This window comes from Homo sapiens, chromosome 20 (genome assembly GCF_000001405.40).
Source record: "Homo sapiens chromosome 20, GRCh38.p14 Primary Assembly".
NCBI classification, from domain to species: domain Eukaryota; kingdom Metazoa; phylum Chordata; class Mammalia; order Primates; family Hominidae; genus Homo; species Homo sapiens.
In genome coordinates, this window is record NC_000020.11 from 957,930 (window position 1) to 974,886 (window position 16,957).

At 52.0% G+C, this 16,957-nt stretch overlaps 1 protein-coding gene across 3 annotated transcripts in view, besides 1 other annotated feature; it reads right to left on the minus strand.

The window, feature by feature from the left end:
• The window catches only part of RSPO4 (R-spondin 4), a 43,860-nt gene continuing 27,425 nt past the window's right edge, over positions 523 to 16,957 (minus strand). Inside the window, exons 2-5 of one of the 3 annotated variants that reach the window (NM_001029871.4) lie at positions 10,021 to 10,209; positions 9,245 to 9,385; positions 6,006 to 6,191; positions 523 to 2,537 (exon numbers count right to left, since the gene is read on the minus strand). In NM_001029871.4, coding sequence (NP_001025042.2) covers positions 2,428 to 2,537; positions 6,006 to 6,191; positions 9,245 to 9,385; positions 10,021 to 10,209 — 626 coding nt within the window. In that variant the 3' untranslated portion in view covers positions 523 to 2,427. Of the gene's footprint in view, positions 2,538 to 4,061; positions 6,192 to 9,244; positions 9,386 to 10,020; positions 10,210 to 16,957 lie in introns of those variants that run through there. The other 2 variants (NM_001040007.3, XM_017027839.2) reach the window with 2 other exon arrangements.
• Positions 13,955 to 14,672: an enhancer, noted in NCBI's record as "H3K27ac hESC enhancer chr20:952527-953244 (GRCh37/hg19 assembly coordinates)". NCBI's record gives its function as "activates a minimal SCP1, AML or CMV promoter by ChIP-STARR-seq in primed H9 embryonic stem cells {active_cell/tissue: H9 hESC(primed)}" and the evidence as "EXISTENCE:reporter gene assay evidence [ECO:0000049][PMID:30033119]".

Here is a 16,957-nt window from a genome sequence, read left to right on the forward strand (position 1 = left end):
TGGGTCTTCCAGATTTCGGCAATAGATTTAATTTAGCCAGGCTTCCTCTTCATCACATTCATCACATGGGAAAACTGAGGCCCCGGAAGGGGAAGTGACTTGACCTGGACCCCATCAGATAGCTGGTGACAGGCTGGAGCTCCCACCTGTGCCTCCCAATGCCAAGGCCACTCTCACCAGCAGCCCAGGGTGTTTAGATGGCCCCGTGGGACTGTCAACCTCCTAGGTACCCCTGGTCCCTGAGACATCTGGTTCGTGAAACTGCGAGGTTCTGGGGATCGAGGTGTCACCCTCTTCTGCCTCTGGCTGAGTCTGCTTCTTGAGAGTAGCCTGGAGGGGCTGAGGGCCCCTCCTCTTTTATCAGCTCCCCCCAAGCTGAAACCCCACCCCAATCCCCAATACACTCTGACCCCTCTCAGCCCCAAGCATTCCTGTGAAAACCACTCCACATGTTTTAAATTCTGCTACTCCAAACTCAGCAGTATCATGGTTTTGCAACACCCTCTTGATGCTCAAGAAGCATTTACAAGTTTCTTTTCCCTTTATTAAGAAAGTTTTAAAAAAAAGTTAGGGTCTTGAAACAATAACAACGGAGCATTTCAGAGGCACAAACGTTTGCAGAAGAGAAGCTGGTGGCCTGGCCAGGCGGAGGAGGGGGCTCTAGCTGTTCTCGGGGAGGTGAGAGCAGGGAAGTCAGAGAGAGGGTGGGCCTGCTGGGAGGGGGGGGTTCAGGCCAGGGCTCCCCAGCTGCCAGGTGGAGGGCAGGTCTGAGGGTGGGTGCTCTCTTGGGGTCGGGAATGTAATATTTCATCACCTAGAGCCTCTCCCCCAGCCTGCTGACCATCTTCCTTCCCCAGGCCACCCCTGGGCCCCTTGGAGCTCCGACTCTTGCTTCTCCTGCCCATTCCTGTCCCAGTCACGGAGCCCTACGTGTTCAGGCCAACCAGTCACGGCAAATACAAATCCCGTTTCTGAGGATTCCGGGGAGCAGAGCAGGAAGGGGGTGTTATGATGGCAGAAGGATAGGCAGTGAGGACAGACTTGCTTCCAAGCTGGGTCTGACCTGGAGACTCCTCCCAGCGTCGTTCCTGCCTAGGGCGAGGGGCGTCACAGCGAAGCACAGATGCTCAAGTCACTGGTGGTGGGTGTGGGCGAGTGTGGTGGTGGGTGTGGGGGAGTGTGGTGGTGGGTGTGGGGCAGTGTGGTGGTGGGTGTGGGCGAGTGCGGTGATGGGTGTGGGCAAGTGTGGGGGTGGGTGTCAGCGTGTGGGGGTGGGTGTCAGCGAGTGTGGTGGTGGGTGTGGACGAGTGCACGGATCTTCCCTTGCTCCCCACCCACAATTCCCTACATTTCCCCCCTCAAGTGACCCCCAAATTCTCCTCTCCACCGTGAATGTGCTGAGCAGAGCCATCAGGCAGAAGCAGAGCCTGAAGGCTTCCTGTGTGACCCTGGGCAAGCCCCTTCCTTCTCAGACCTGTTTCCCCACATGGGCAGGAAGCGCTGAGGTGGGGAACAGAGCTGCTGGATAATCTCAGCTTTCCTTTCCGTTTCAGTGGCCTCTTCTGGGCTGGGCAGGTGGATCCCCCAGCAGTGACAGCTCACCTGATCCGGCTTGGGAAAAAGGGGCATGGAACCCATGAGAGGGAGGCCTGTGGGGGAGTGCCGATGAGGGTGGCAGGCAGCTTGCAGAGGATGCCCTCCAGGGCTGGCTGCCCACCCAGAGGCCAGGTTGTGACCCTCCACGGCCAGCTGGGGGAGGTGTCCAAGCCAGGCCTCTGGAAGCCCTGGAGCCTTGTCCAGCCAGCTCCTCGGGGTGGCTGGTGGCTGAAGGCTGTGGAAATGGCCTCTGGGGACTGTCCAGAGAACCAGGTGCTCACAGCTCAGGGTCCTGGAGCCTCCCCCAGAGCAGAAGCAGGGCCTTCAGGATTCACCTGTGCTGTGTCCCAGCTTTGCCCTCTGGAAACCCTTTCTCTGCAAAGATGGGGTCAGGGAAAGGCCTGGGAAAAGATGTTTGCTTTCTTTAAGTTGTAGATAGAGAAAGCTGCAGGGGAGGGCACAGGCTCATGGTCCCTCTTAAAGTGTGTGTGAGAGGGAGACAAGAGGAGGGAGAGAGAGAAGGATGCGGTGAAGGACAGGAAGAAACACAGGAAGAAAGAAAAGGAAAGATAAAAGATAAGTGAGAAAGAAGAGGAAGGAAGGGAAGGAGGGAGGGAGAAAGGAGAGGAGAATGGAGGTGGAAGAAATAAAGGAAATAAAAAAGAAAAAGAAAGGGAAGGTAGACTGACAGAAAAATGATAGAAGGGTGGAAAGAAAGAGAGGACAAATGGAGAAGACAGAGGAGAAAGAGTAAGAGGAGAGGAGGAGAAGGAGCAGGAGGAGGTGTGCAGGGGCCGAGGACTAGGACCAGAGAGTCGGGAGAGCCGGCGGTCAGGGCTGCAGGCCGGGCTGGCGCGGCCTCACGTCCAGCCTGCGGTCCAGCTTCCTGTCCTTGCGTGGGCGCCGGTCCTTCCTGCCCTTCTTCTGGCCGGGGCTCCTCTCTGCAATGAGAGGACAGAGCCCGGTGACCAAGGCTGCAGGGCCAGTTAGGTCCTGGGAGCCTCCTCAGTCCTGAAAGACAAGGGTGCCCCACCCACTCCCCAACAACGGGGCTCAGAACATTTGGGCACTGACCTTGCAGTCCCTCCTGTTGAGAGTTTGGACCGTGGGCTAAGGTACCCCAAACTGAACCTTTCTCTCTAGGTCTTCAGGGAGTGGCGAGGGCCACTAACTTGTTCAGGGCCTTCTTGTGCTGGACATCTGGCTCGGCCAGGCCTGCAGGTTCACCTGGGGCCCCCCAATCAGCATGTCGGGTGGCCTCATGGGAGTCCCCATGGCTTTCCCCGGCACACTCCTTCCATAGCTGAGCAGGCTCTGTGCTGGACGCTGGACACCTTTCATCTGTGTCCCTGCACCAACTTCTGCATAACACTGTGGCAACAATACTTCAGCATTTAGCAAGCGCTCACTGTATGCAGGCCACAGCCCCAAGTGCTTTATGTATACGAAACTCACAACAGCCGAGAGAGGCAGGTAGGGTCTGAGCCACACCCAGTCCCGTCTTCTCCAATTGTCCTCTCTTTCTCTCCACCCTTCTATCATTTTTCTGTGCCAGGCTACCTTTCCTTTCTTTTTCTTCTTTATTTCCTTTATTCCTTCCACCTCCACTCTGGCTGTGCCCGCTGCCCAGGGAGTTCTTCTGAGCAGTTGCCTGTCATTGTTATGGACAGGTGAGAAGACCACAGCATGGTTGGGAGCAAGGCCAGCCCTAAGTTTCTGCTTTACAAAGTGTCTCCACACCCAGGACATTCTCCTACATTGCTTGGGCCCCATTCAGTTCCCCGCAAGGAGCTGTGTGTCCATTTGAACACGATGAACCTGAGGCTCCATGAGTCACTTTCTGAAGGTGCGCAGCGAGGCTGTTAGAGACCCTCTGAGCCTAGTGGCAAGGGGAGGGCAGTTTTATTCCTTGGGTGTCAACTATGTGCCCGTCTCCCCAAGAGTCAGGGCTGTGGCTCCAGTCCTGGCTCCTTCCTCTGCAGAGCAGAGTCAAGGAGCTAAGACCAGGCTACCCACCTCTGGGGCTCCCCACGCCCACTCTGAGCTCTTGGGGAGCACTGAGGCCAACTCCCACTCTGAGCTGCAGAGCTGACTGTGCAGGCCTCAGGTAGGACAGCATCTGGAGATGGGGTGTGGGTGCTGCCTGAGTGGCCCTGCCGGCTCTGATGTGGGGGTGTGGGGGCCAGTGGCTTTGTGTCCCTACCCCTTCCCTAGGCCTGCCTGCCAGCTGCTCATGTACCCATCCAGTCACCCACCCATCCCTCCACCTATTTACCCACCTACACACTCACCCACCTATTCACCCATCTACTCACCCACCTCCATACCCAATGACCCATCCATCCACCTAGGCACCCACCCATCACCTATCCATCCACCTGTTCACCTATCTACCTACCTACCCACCCACCTAATCATCCACCTACCTACTCATCCACCCACCTACCCTCCCATCTACCCTCCTATCCACCCATCTACCTACCCACTCACCCACCTGTGCATTCAGCCATCCATCCACTCATCCAACAAATATTAACTGGATACCGACTATGTGCCAGACTGTGTTAGAGGCACTAGAGAGACAGCTGTGAACAAGGCAGATAAAGCCCTTGCCGTCACTGGAGATCACACTCCAGTAAGGAAAACAGACGCTGAACAAGCAAACACGAGAATGAGAAGGCTCATTTCAGAAGGGTGCAAGTGCTACCATGTGATATGATGGAAAATGACTCCGGGGAGGGGGACTCCTGGGAAGCCTCTCTGAGGAGGAGCCACTGCAGCCAAGACCTGGGTGATGCAGGGAGCTACAGCGGGGTTGTTGCGAGGATTAGAGTCATGTTTCACAGCACTAAGCACAGCCAGCACATGGTAGATGCTTTATGAATGTTTGCAGTTATTGTGATTATTATTATCCAGGGGAAAAGCTTTCCCCTCATGATTCCCCAACAGCCATTCACCCCCAGCTCTTGGAGCCATGAGAGGTGCCATGTGGTAATGAGTGCAGAAGAACTGTCTGCCTCCTGTGTGAGTCCTGCTCTGGCTCTGGGGTCTCTTAGGTTCTCTGGTTCCACCTCAACCTCACTCTGTCCTCACCTGCCCAACATGACTCCCAAAGGCTCCTATCTCTGCTAGCTGCACTCCCAACCCAAATAGCACAAGTCCTTCTGAAAGAGGAGTGTCCCTGAGTTCAAATCCTGGCTCCACTATGTCCCAGCTGGGTGCCCCGGGTGGCCTGGTTCCAGGTCCCTCATCCTTCATCATGACTTTAGATTCCTCTTTGCATGACGAGTTACGTTTGAATTCTAGGTCTACAGCTCCCTGGCTTTGTGACCCTTAGGTGAGTGACTCAACCTTTCTGGGCCTCAGTCCCCTCATCTGTAAAATGGGGATAGTGCTAATAACACCTACCGCATAGCATCACTGCGAAGATTACATGAGTTAACGATTATAGAGAATTCGGCACAGTGCCCAGTCAACACTGCCAATACTACTCACCGTTCACATCTTACCAAGCACACCCTGTGGCCTCTCTTCTATGTAAATCAGTGGTCCTTCATAGCCCCCAGAAACATTTTGGAAATACGTGTAGTGGTCTTGAATGGCACAGTGAAGGGGGTTCCTGTGGCATTCAGTGGACGGCAATCGGGATCCAGCGTGGGACAGTCCCCCGCAAAGACGAGCTGTCCCCCTGTTCCATCCAGTTCTCTCACATCGTGCCCCACCCTCACGTAGCTGAAAAGTCTGCTTGCTGGGAGCTGAATTCTGTTTGACTCATGAATACCAATTGGTTTCGAACACTTCCATTCACTGAAGATTCTAGGGCACTGTGAGTGTGGTGTCAATCAGAGATCAATTGGGTTGGACCTTACTAATCATTGGTCACTGTTGGGAAATCGCATCTCTGATGGCGATGTGGCCACGTACTTGGGGCGCTGACCACGGCCGCGGTCCTCACTGGGATTGTACTTCCCTAAGTGTCTGTTGGTATGTTGGGCCAAGCGCTTCCATCAAGAAATTTCTTTTCTTTCTCCTCTATATTACAGTTAGGACACTATACTGATAAAAAAAAATTACCTTTGCAAGTAGGCCACATTCTCCATGAACTTCATTAAGAATGATAAAGAGGGTATTCCCAAATCCTTCTTATTAAAAGGGGGGTGTTCAGTTTGAGAGGGTTGGGAACTCCTGGCCAGCTCAATTTTCCTAATGTATTTGGGACTGAACCCAGCAAGGAAGGCCCTCCTTTGAAAGGACACCAGGGAAGGTGATGTGTACTCCACATGATAGTATGGCTAATGGTGGCCTTTCAGGCAGTCTCATAGATACTATTTGTGGGGCAGTGATCTGAGTCCGCCCTGTCCCTGTGGGCCTTTCCCACCGCAGCCTCGTGTGCCTGTCCTGGGGCTCACCTCCTGGGCAGGGCCTCTGGATGGGACATTTCCTTGACTCAGAAAGCACCTGGCAGGTGGCTGCCTCCTCATGCCCAGCCCGGCCAGCCTCTCGTACCCGGCTCTCCAGGCCCCAAGCCGAGCCGCAGGTCTTTCCATTGTGTGTGCAGGGGCTCCAGCCGCCCCAGGGACCCAGTTCACACTCCCCTGTGGGGTGAAAGGAGAGACAGACAGACAGACAGACAGGGTCAGCCGGCAGTGAGGGTCCTTCAGATCCAAGGGCAGGGTTTGAGGGGTTCAGTCCTCTGAAGACTGAAGACACCACTTCCACCTGCTAGGAGCAGAGTTATTTATAAGAGCCTGGAATGAGAGCGAAACGAATGCATGCACAGACTAATATGGGCCTGAAGCCAGAGCGGCCGACTGTCTAGCTTTAAAGGAAAGGCTTCCTGGAGGAGGTGATGTATGAGTTAAAGGGAGAGAGGGGAGCTCGTCAGGTGAGAAGAAGGAAGCCCATTCCAGGCAGGTGTGCAAAGCCTTGGGAGCCCGGCCCACCATGTTTGGGAGATGGGGCAGCCTGAGTTGGGAGTCAAGTCTCAGGAAGGCGGGGACAGGAGAGGAGGCTGGAAGGTTGCCTGGGAAGCCCTCAGGACCAGGACACAGGTTTTAAACTTGATCATGTGTCTTTGATCAACTTTGGAAGGAAGAAAAAGGAGGCCATGGACATAAAAGTTCTTCATAGGGGGTAATAAAAATACATATATACATGTATATATATATATACACACACACACACATATATATATACACATATATATACACACACACACATATATATACACATATATATACACACACACACACATATATATATACACATATATACACACATACACACACACACACACACACACACACATATATATATATATATACTTTGATTATTTTAAAAGTCCATGAGAAGTAGGCACAGAATATGGGTAGCTATGAATACTCCTATTTTGTAGATTTGGACACTGAGACCTAGAGCAGAGGTTTGCTAAGGGAACGCAGCAAGAGGCTCACACAGCAGACACAGCAAGCTCAAGACACAGTGGGACCCAGACCTTGCTAGATACACACATTTGACAAGTAAAGACTGAGCACCCAGTGTATGCCAGGTGCTATTCTGGGTGCTGAGGGAGCAGCAGCAGACAAGACAGCCCAGGGTCTGCAGGCCTCCTGGAATTCACCATCTGGACACCGCCGTGATGAGGGAAGTGCAGGCACCGTGGGAGCCCAGAAGCAGCATGGGTTGGGTTGTAGGGGAGGAAACCCCTGGACTGGGTCTTGAAGTGGGGGTGGGATGGCGGGGAAGGGGAGCCTAGCCAGGCTCAGGGAGGGACGGGAGGTGCTCCAAGTGAGGGCATAACCCCAGCAGAGTCCCCAGGATGATTTGGCCTGGAACTGGGCAAGCCGGAGAATAAGCTCAAACTGAGGAGGAAAAAAATGATGGGGGTGGAAAGGCTGGCAGATGGGACAGATTGCCCAGGGCCTGGGTGGGCTCCGCCCAAGGGCAGTGGGAGCCACTGAAGGGTCCTGGGAGGAAAAGAAATTGAGCAGACTATCATTGTGAAATACTCCCTCTGCTGTTGAGTGGAGACTGGGCTGGAGGGACTGAGAACCAAGGCGGGAGACGGGCAGGAGCTGTGGCCAGAACCCTGGCGATAGGCAGGGGGTGGCAAGAGGGTGGGAAGAGGGCGGCACAGAGGACAGAAACAAATGGGTGGGGAGAAAGGGATGAGCTGAATGGTGTGGGTTTGGGAGCTTCGTGCTGCTTCATTTTCACCCCAAAGTTCTTCCTACCACCCAAAATATTATGCATTTGTTCTCAGGTGTCGCTTCTGTCTCTCCACTGAAATGTCATGTCCTTGAGTGCAGAGGCTTTGTCTGTTTTGTTCTGTAATGTGTCTCCAGCACCTAGGAAAGTGCCTGGCCATAGCAGATGCTCTAGTAGATATTTTCAGAGTGAATAAATGAACAGATTGGATTGAATATAGGGTGAGGGAGAGAGAAGAGTCAACAGCGATGTCTGCATCTCGCGCATGCCACCCAGGGATCAGGGAGCTGGTTATTGAAACCCAGAGGAAACCCAGAGGGAGCGTTAGGTGGGGGATGGTGGCAGTGGGAGTGGAAAGAAGGCACCCAGAGGGCAGTGGAGGTGAGGATCAGCTGCTCAGGGAGGCTGGAGACACGGAGTCAGGGGCCATCAGCAGCTGGAATGACCATGAATGTGAGCCCGGAGGGAATGCGTGGGCAGAGAGGCACAGTGTAGATGAGAATGCCAAGGAGCAGCCTAGTGCAGGAACGGGAGGGCTCACAGGCAGGAGTGTGACAAGGAGCTGTTAGGAAATAATCAGAGCAGTAATAACACTGATACTGACACGTACTGAGCATCTACTGTGTGCTGGCTGCTGTACTGAGCACTTTAAATTGTACTAATTCACTTTATCCTCATAACAATTCCTCCCCATGAGGTAGGCTCTATGTTCTATTGTCTTTTTTTTTTTCTAACGTTTGGAGAAACCGAAGGACAGAGAGCTGAGGTGGTTTGCTTAAGATCACTAAAGGGTAAGGTTTAGAGCTAGGATTGGACCCCAGGCCTGTCCTATTCCAAAATCAGTGCTCAGCCAGGTGTGGTGGCTCATACCTATACTCCCAATGCTTTGGGAGGCTGAGGTGGGAAGACCGCTTGAGCCCAGGGGCAGCCTGGGCAACATAGCAAGAGCCTGTCTTTACAAAAACATAAACGCATAGCCAGCTGTTGTGGTACATGCCTGTGGTCCCAGTTACTCGGGAGGCTGAGGCGGGAGGATTCTCTGAGCCTAGGAGTTTGAGGCTGCAGTGAGCTATGATCATGCCACTGCACTCCAGCTGGGCAACAGAGTGAGACCCTATCTCAAACAAAACAAGCAAACAAGCAAACAAACAAACAAATAAACATCAGCGCTCTTCTTCTGCACTCTGCTGATTCCCTTGGCATTAATAACAATGCCAGTGTTGGTTGTAGTAGTAATCATAGTAATGGCGGTTATGTTGGCTCTAGTGTTTTGCAGTTACTATGTGGAGGTACCCAGTGTACCTGACATGGTGGTGCTGGGCCTTCCCTCACCATATGGCATTCTACTGTAATTTCTTCCAGGGCCCCTAACATCTCTCACCAAGCCCCCGCTCCAGGGAGAGGGGAGGGGCAGGGGCAGGGCGGGGAGGTCCCCACTCACCCTGGCACTCCCGTGTGTTCTGGTGGGCCAAAGTGCCCGGCGGGCAGGTGGGCAGACACTTCCCCTTGTACAAGTAAAACTGCCTCTTGCACCGGATGCAGAAGTCCTGGCTGAAGCAGCTCTCACAAGTGGCCCCACATTCTGTAATAGAGCCAGGGACACCCCAGGTGAGGGAGACTGCCAAGGATGGGGCCCACTGGGTCTGCCCGAGGTGGAAGGCCCTCTGGGTAGCTCCAGGCTTGGTAGCATTTGGGTCAGGACTCAGTGTCTCCTTTGAAGCCCAGACTTGGCCAAGGTCAAACTGGGCTGCATGTGAAGAGAACACTCCCTTTCTCATTTGAGGGGAGGCTCAGAGAGAGCGAGTGACTTGCTTGAAGTCACCCGCAAACCAGGGCTGGAGTGAGGACTCCCTGCTTCTTTTTCACCTCAGAAATAGTGATAATTTGCCCAAAGTTACAGCAAAAATTAGAGCTTGGAATTAGGACTCCTTTTCCTATTTGAGCTAAGACCAGAGAAGGTGAGTTACATGCCTAAGGCCACACCACAAACTAGGGTAGAAGTGAAAGTTGCCTGTTCTATTAGTGCTAATTAAGGCTGAGAGCGGACTGACTTGCCTCGGGCTGCGGAGTCAGCCTGGACACAGGCAGGTATCTCAGAGTCTGGGCTTAGACATGCACCTACTTCCCCTCTGTCTGTGCTGGGGTGAAAGGGTGGGATCTAAGCCCATGGTGTCTAGGAGCCCAGCACTAGCATAGAACAAGGGAGAAGCCACGTACTTTTGCACCTGTTGACCTCCTGGCCGCGGATGCCGAAGTACCCAGGGGGACAGTCGTGCAGGCACTTGCCGTACTGGCGGATGCCTTCCCGGCGGATGAACAGGAAGAGCCTCTGCTGGCAGGTGGAACAGCCGTTCTCCTCTGAGCAGATGATACAGCCTGTGCAGTTGCCCCCCAGGCCAGTGCCCACTGCCCACAAGACCAGGGCAGAAGGAGGGGGAAAGGGAGAGAGAGATGGTCAAACCATATATGCGAGCAGCTGAGATGGTCTCATTGGGATAGTAACTGGGCACATGGCCACCCAAACAAAAGACTACATTTCCCACCTTCCCTTACAACTAGATATGGTCATGTGACCAACATCTGGCCAATCAGATGTAAGGTAAAGCAGCATGTGACACTTCAAGAAAGCTGCCTTAAAGGGCAGGGGTGTGCCCCTTGTCGTCCCCTCATCCTTTCTGTTGGGTGGAATGTGAACGATGGCTGGAGCACAAGCAGCCATTTCAGATCATGAGGTGGAAACTATGTCCCGTGAGGCGGTGGAAAAATCAGATAAAAAGCACCTGGGTGCCTGAGGAAGGCAGAACTGCTGTACCAGCTCTAGCCTGCCTGTGTAGACTGTTACATGAGAGAGAAATCAACATCTATCTTGCTTAAATCACTGTTATTTGAAGTTTTCCATCACTCACAAGCAAACTTAATCTTTACCAAAGTAATGTGAATTTTTGAGTGTGTGTGGGTGCACATGATGAGTGGGGTGGGGTGAGACCCTCACCCTCCTGCTGGGTTCCTGAACAATACTCAGCAATACTCCATTTCTCACTGTCACCATCAGCAAGGGCTCCCACCATCATCAGGAATAGCAATGGGAGAAATTTTTTTAAGGAGAAAATTTTTTGTTACCCCAGAATTGGCACCCAGGAGCCAAAGCTGGGGAAAAAAGAGGTGGAAAATGCTCTAGAATCTTAAGTGAGCCTCTCCCAGGCTCATAAGGAGTCTCTGTTACCCTGACCATCACCCCAGGACCCTGATTAAGCTGAACACTTGCAGGGAGGGACTCATGGGAGTTAGGGATTGTCAGCCTGGCCAGGCACAGTGGCTCATGCCTGTCATCCCAGCATTTTGGGAGGCCAAGATGGGAGAATTGCTTGAGTCCAGGAGTTTGAGACCAGCCTGGACAATATGGCGAGGCCCTGTCTCTACAAAAAATACAAAAATTAGCCGGGTATGGTGGCACACACCTGTAGTCCCAGCTACTTGGGAGGCTAAGGTGGGAGGATCGCCTGAGCGGGGAAGGCTGCAGTGAGCTGTGTTTGTGCCACTGTACTCCAGTCGGAGAGACAGAGTGAAGCCATGTTTCCAATAAAGAAGAAAATAAAAAGAAGTGGACAGCCTAGGGAAGTGAGTTGTGGTGCTGTGACTTTTCCTCTGTTCCCAACCCTGCCAACGAAGTGAGGAGATGCCAGAGAAACTCACAAAGACAGGGGGTGCCTGCAAGAAGGTGCCAGCATCTCATGCCCTGCTTGGACATAAACTCATGTCCATAGCCCTGCGAATCTGCCCCCTTCCCATTCCTCTTTGAACAGAGAAAGGAGACCAGGAGACAGAAGGGCAGAGCTGAGGGGAAGAGTGTGATAGAAGAGCCTGCACATCCTTCCCGGCACGTGTGAGGGAGTTCTCAGTGGTAAGGGGCACCTTGGGAGCAGCCAGGCTTAGGTGGTATTCCTGCTGCCTGGCACAAGAAGGCTGGTTGCTGGGAGGTGCCCCAGCAGTAAGAGGCAGCAGGGGAGACCACTGGGAGTAGGAGGTGGGGGAGAGTCAGAAAATGACCAGGTGTCACTAAGTGACAGGAAAGGATAGGGCAGCTTTTGAGAGGCAGCAATTGGGGAAACAGTAAATGGTTTCATGTTTATATGTCATTAGGGTCAGACTGGTTAATAATCCGGTTATACACCTTGATTCACCTGAGCCCCAAGACCACCCGGCAGGAAACATTCTTGGCTCTCCAGCTCTCAGATGCTCCCCTCTTCCTATTGGTGCCCCATCTCCCTTTTAGAGGAATTCCCCATTGTGCAAGGTCCTGATGAAACACATCCTGGCACCTTCCCCCTGGAACAGAAACCAAAAGAGTTCTGGCCCTCCTTTAAGTTGGCAGCAGGTGAGAGCTAACGAAAGCCCGGTCAGATACACATTCTGGTGACTCCAGTCCTGGGAGTGGGACACAAGAGTGAGGGTCACACAGAAATGGGGTTCATGGTGGAGGCAGGGCAGGCTCTCTGCCCAGCCCTGGCTGAGGCCTTTCTCTCTCCCTTCCATCCCTCAGTCCCTCTGTTCCTTCCTCCCTGCTCCAGCTCTCGGATGAGTACTGCTACTTCCCCAGTCCTCACCTTCTGTTCCTTAGATTCGGTGAGGCCCCACATCCTGCTGATAACCCTCTTTCTGTTGCTTATAACTCAGGAGGCTTACTGATCCAGGGTCGTACGGAAGCACACAGTAACTAAAGTGTACCCTGGGATGCTGTTCCCAAGCAAAGTTGGCATTGCCCTCAATTTTCTTGCCCTGGGATAAGAAACTGCAACAGGAGAGCAGAATAAAGATTTTTGTGCCTCTGGAGCTGTATACCTGGCAGGGATCTGAGGGCAGAGAGCAAGTGTGATGTTGTAAGGGAGATTCCCAGAGCCAGAGAAATAAGAACATCCACTGAGAATTTAGCAGAGTCCGGACTTCTCACTCAGCAAAAGATTCAGATTCTGATACTACCCAGAGCTGGCAAGAATGAGAGGAAACCTTCGCTTTTTCACCTTAGATAGGAGTGTAAACTTCGGGGAAAAATCTAGCAGTACCTAATAAATTTGGAGATGTCTCTTTTCTTTTTGTGTTAAAAAGTTTTTTTGTTTGTTTTGTTTTGTTAAGACAGGATCTTGCTCTGTCACCCAGGCTCCAGTGCAGTGGCATGATCCTAAGCTCACTGCAGCCTCAAATTCCTGGGCTCAAGCAATCCTCCTGCCTCAGCCTCCTAAGTAGCTGGGACTACAGGCATGTCCCACCACACCAAGATAATTTTTTAAAAACTTTTGTACAGATGGTCTCTCTCTGTTTCCCAGGCTGGTCTTGAACTCTGGCCTCAAGTGATCTTCCTGCCTCAGGGTCCCAAAGTGTTGGGATTATAGGCATGAGCCACCACGACTGGCCTGATGTCTCTTCTAAATGTAACAATTTAGCTTCTGGTATATACCCTAGAGCGGCAGTTCTCAAACTCTGGCGCACAACAGCAGCTCCTAGAGAGCTTGTTAGAATATAGGTCCCTGGGTTCCACCCCTGGTACGTCTGATTCAGTAGGTCTGAGAATTTGTATTTCTAACAGGTTCCCAGGTGATGCTGATGCTGCTGGTCCAGGGACCATGCTCTCAGAAACACTGACCTAGAGAAACCCTTGTATATGTGTAGAAAGAGACAAAGATATTTATTGCAGCATTATTTAATAGCAAACAACTGCAAAAAGCTAACCCTCTGCCAAAGGAATAGATAAATACATTGTGGTATATTCATACACCACAGCCAGATACCACATACACAACCCAGCCATGATAAATGACTGAGGTAGCTACAGTTATCATTGTGGGCACAGCTCAAAGACGGGGCTGAGAGGAAAAAAGCAAGGTGCACGATGAATCATATAGTAAGAGCCATTTATATAAAGTTCAAGGACCTGCAAAGCAATATTTTGTAGCATTTGTGACTTGTAAATATGCATTCAGAGCAGAAGACATGGGACTAACCAACACTGAATTCAGGATCATGGCACACAAATGTTTATTATATTATTTTAAATTCTTGACTGTAGGTTTGAAATAGTTCACCCTAAAAATGCATAAAGAACAAAAGAATTTAGCCTCTACTGTGTCCTGGGGCAGGAGGAGGCCTACATTCTTTCTTCTCCTTCTCCACTAGCTCCCCTCCCAAGCCCTGTCCCATCCTCAAGCTGAGGTCTTGAGCAGGGGAAGGTGACAAATTCTGAAGACGTGGGACCCGGGTTCCAAGAGCAGTGGAGACTCGTGCCTCTGCACACTTTGCCCCTCGTCCACTCTCCCCTCATCCTCAGTAGTGGAATCCTGATTTTTATTTTATTTTTTGAGGCAAGGTCTTGCTCTGCCCCCCAGGCTGAAGTGCAGTGGCACGACCTTGGCTCACTGCAGCCTAGACTTCCCGGGCTCAAGCAATCCTCCCTCCTCAGCCTCCCTAGTAGCTAGGACTACAGGCGTGCACCACCATGCCCAGCTAATCTGTGTATTTTTTTGTAGAGAAATGGTTTCACCATGTTTCCCAGGCCGGTCTAAAACTCCTGGGCTCAAGCAATCCTCCTGTCTCAGACTCCCAAAGTGCTGGGATTACAGGCCTGAGCCACAGCGCCCGGCTGGAACCCTGATATTAAGCGGAGTTTATGTCCTCTAAGACTATATTTCCCAGGCCCTTTGCAGCTATATGTGGTCATGTGCTTATGCCCTGACCAATGGGATATGAGCGGGCATGCCCTGTACAGCCCCTTAGGAAACGCTGGCACTGTTCTCCTCCCATTTTCCCTTATGCCTGCAGGAGTGCAGGCTTAAGAGTGGAGCCATGGCAGATCCAGGAGGCAGAGGGATCTTATAGAAAGACAGCTTGGCGTGGCTGTATTAACCCAGGGCTGCCCACCGCCGAGATTCTTTCCTGGGGAAGGGAGGAAAGCATTGCCCATCTTGTTTAGGTCACTGGGCCTTTCTGACGCACACATTGACTGATGATGTCGGGTTTTCCGCCATGCAAGGCAGCACAGAGTCATATCAGTGGAGACCAAGTTGCCCTGCGCTGTGCCTTGGCGCTGTGTAAGCCCACTGGGCCTGAGAGGCGACCCCACTACCAAAGAGCAAGGGGACCCTCAGTTGACTTGTGGTGATCTTTATCACCTGGCAGAATAGGACTTCAAATTACAAATTAATTTAAATTACAGAAAAACAAAGTAGCATTTCCTGAAAAACGAATCTGTGGACACAGACTCACACCCTGACATGGCGTTGCTGCCCATTTTGCAGCTGAGAAAAACCGAGAATCAAGGAGGTGAAACGACATGTCCAGGGTCACACAGAATTGGCAGGGGTGGACCCACATCACTCTGCCCCACGCTGCCCTCTTAGAGCATCTGTCCAGGGCCTCCTGTGTCAGGCAGAGCCTGGGGCCATGGGGGTGAGCCACGCATGGCCCCTACCCCTATAGGACAAACAGCCTGGTGGGAGGAATTGAAGCCCACAGAAGTGACAGCAAAGCAGGATGAGATAAGGGGTCAAGATGGAGACAAAGCAAAGCTCTTACCACTCTTAGAAGAGCTTAGAGGTCACTCAGCACAACTCCTGCAGTTTCACTGGGGACACTGAGGCCAGAAGGGGTGGAGCTTTCCCCAAAGTCAGGCAGCCAACTGCAAAGAAGCCTCAGTCCTCAGTTAGAGTTATAGCACTATTTGTTTTTTGTTTGTTTTATTGTTTGTTTGTTTGTTTGTTTGTTTGTTTTTGAGATGGAGCCTCACTCTGTTGCCCAGACTGGAGTGTAGTGGTGCGATCTCAGCTCACTGCAAACTCCGTCTCCCAGGTTCAAACGATTCTCGTGCCTCAGTCTCCCGAGCAGCTGGGATTACAGGCACCCCCACCAAGCCTAGCTAAATTTTTTTGTATTTTTAGTAGAGACGGGGTTTCGCCATGTTGGCCAGGCTGGTCTCGACCTCCTGACCTCAAAAAGCTACAGTATATGCTGAAGGCCAAAGAACCCAACAAGCCCCTCCCAGGCCTCATAGAGTGCTGGCCCACTGGATGGTGCTTAGCATCCTTCAATACCCTGGTCTTTGAAGGTCAATACCCTGGTCTTTGAAGGGTAGTGGCTGTTTCTGGCCTCATCCTCGACCCTGGCAGTTGGCTAGGATGCCCTCTTGTGCCTCTATGTTGTAATGGCACCTCTTGCTTTTTGACTTCCGGTAGCCTGTCTGGTGTTTCGTCATGTCTCTGTAACTCATTAGAAAAAGCAGTGCTACTGCCTCTCTCTACCCCCTGCCCTAAAGTCACGGGTGCAGGCGCTTGAATGTTCATTCTGTGAATCATCAGTGATGACAAGAGTCTGTAGAGTGCTGCTCTAGAAAGATCCAAACTTGAAGGTTCTTAAACTTGACTGTGATAACAATCTCCAGAGAGGCTTGTAAAGCGTCTGCTGTGGGCCAGGAATGTGCACTTTAACAAGTCCAAAATAAATGTAACAGAATTTTGGAAGTGTCTTCCCTGTTCACAGTTTCCTTTCCCTGAGAACTGGCCCCAGTAATCCTGTTTGTAGGGCATGACTCTGACCCTAACCAATGGCTGTCTCTTCCAGGATGGGCCAATTAGACCATCTCTCTCTGGGCTGATGGACAATGGTCTGCGCTGGCCTTGACCTAAGGCGATCTGCAGGTGGGAGGGTAGCCTGTTCCAATGCACATGTGTGAGAAGCCTTGGTGGGCACTAGCTAACAGAGGCTCTGCTCCTCTGCACTCTCTGGCATTGAGGTTCGTGTGCTGCCATATCCACCCAGATGCACTTAACCTGGGCTTGGCCAATCAGAGCATCAGGTCCCCTTGACTACAGTGGTTGTAGGTTCAGACACAGGCTCACATCCCCACAAGAGCTAGTCTTGGGGTTTTTGCTGAGGTCAATGGATGTGTGTGGAGATGTGTGTGTTTTCCTTTCCTCTCTTTGGATCTAGGAGGATATAGATCAGAGCTGGTGGGTGCCACATGAGGGAAGAGCCTCTGGAGAATGGAGGCCATACAGCAGAAACAGAGCCAAGAGACACAGACAAAGACCAAAAAGAGTCATCTGTGCATGTGGATCCACCCTGGGGATCCATAAATTCTCTTTTTTTCTCAGGTCACATTGAGTTAGGT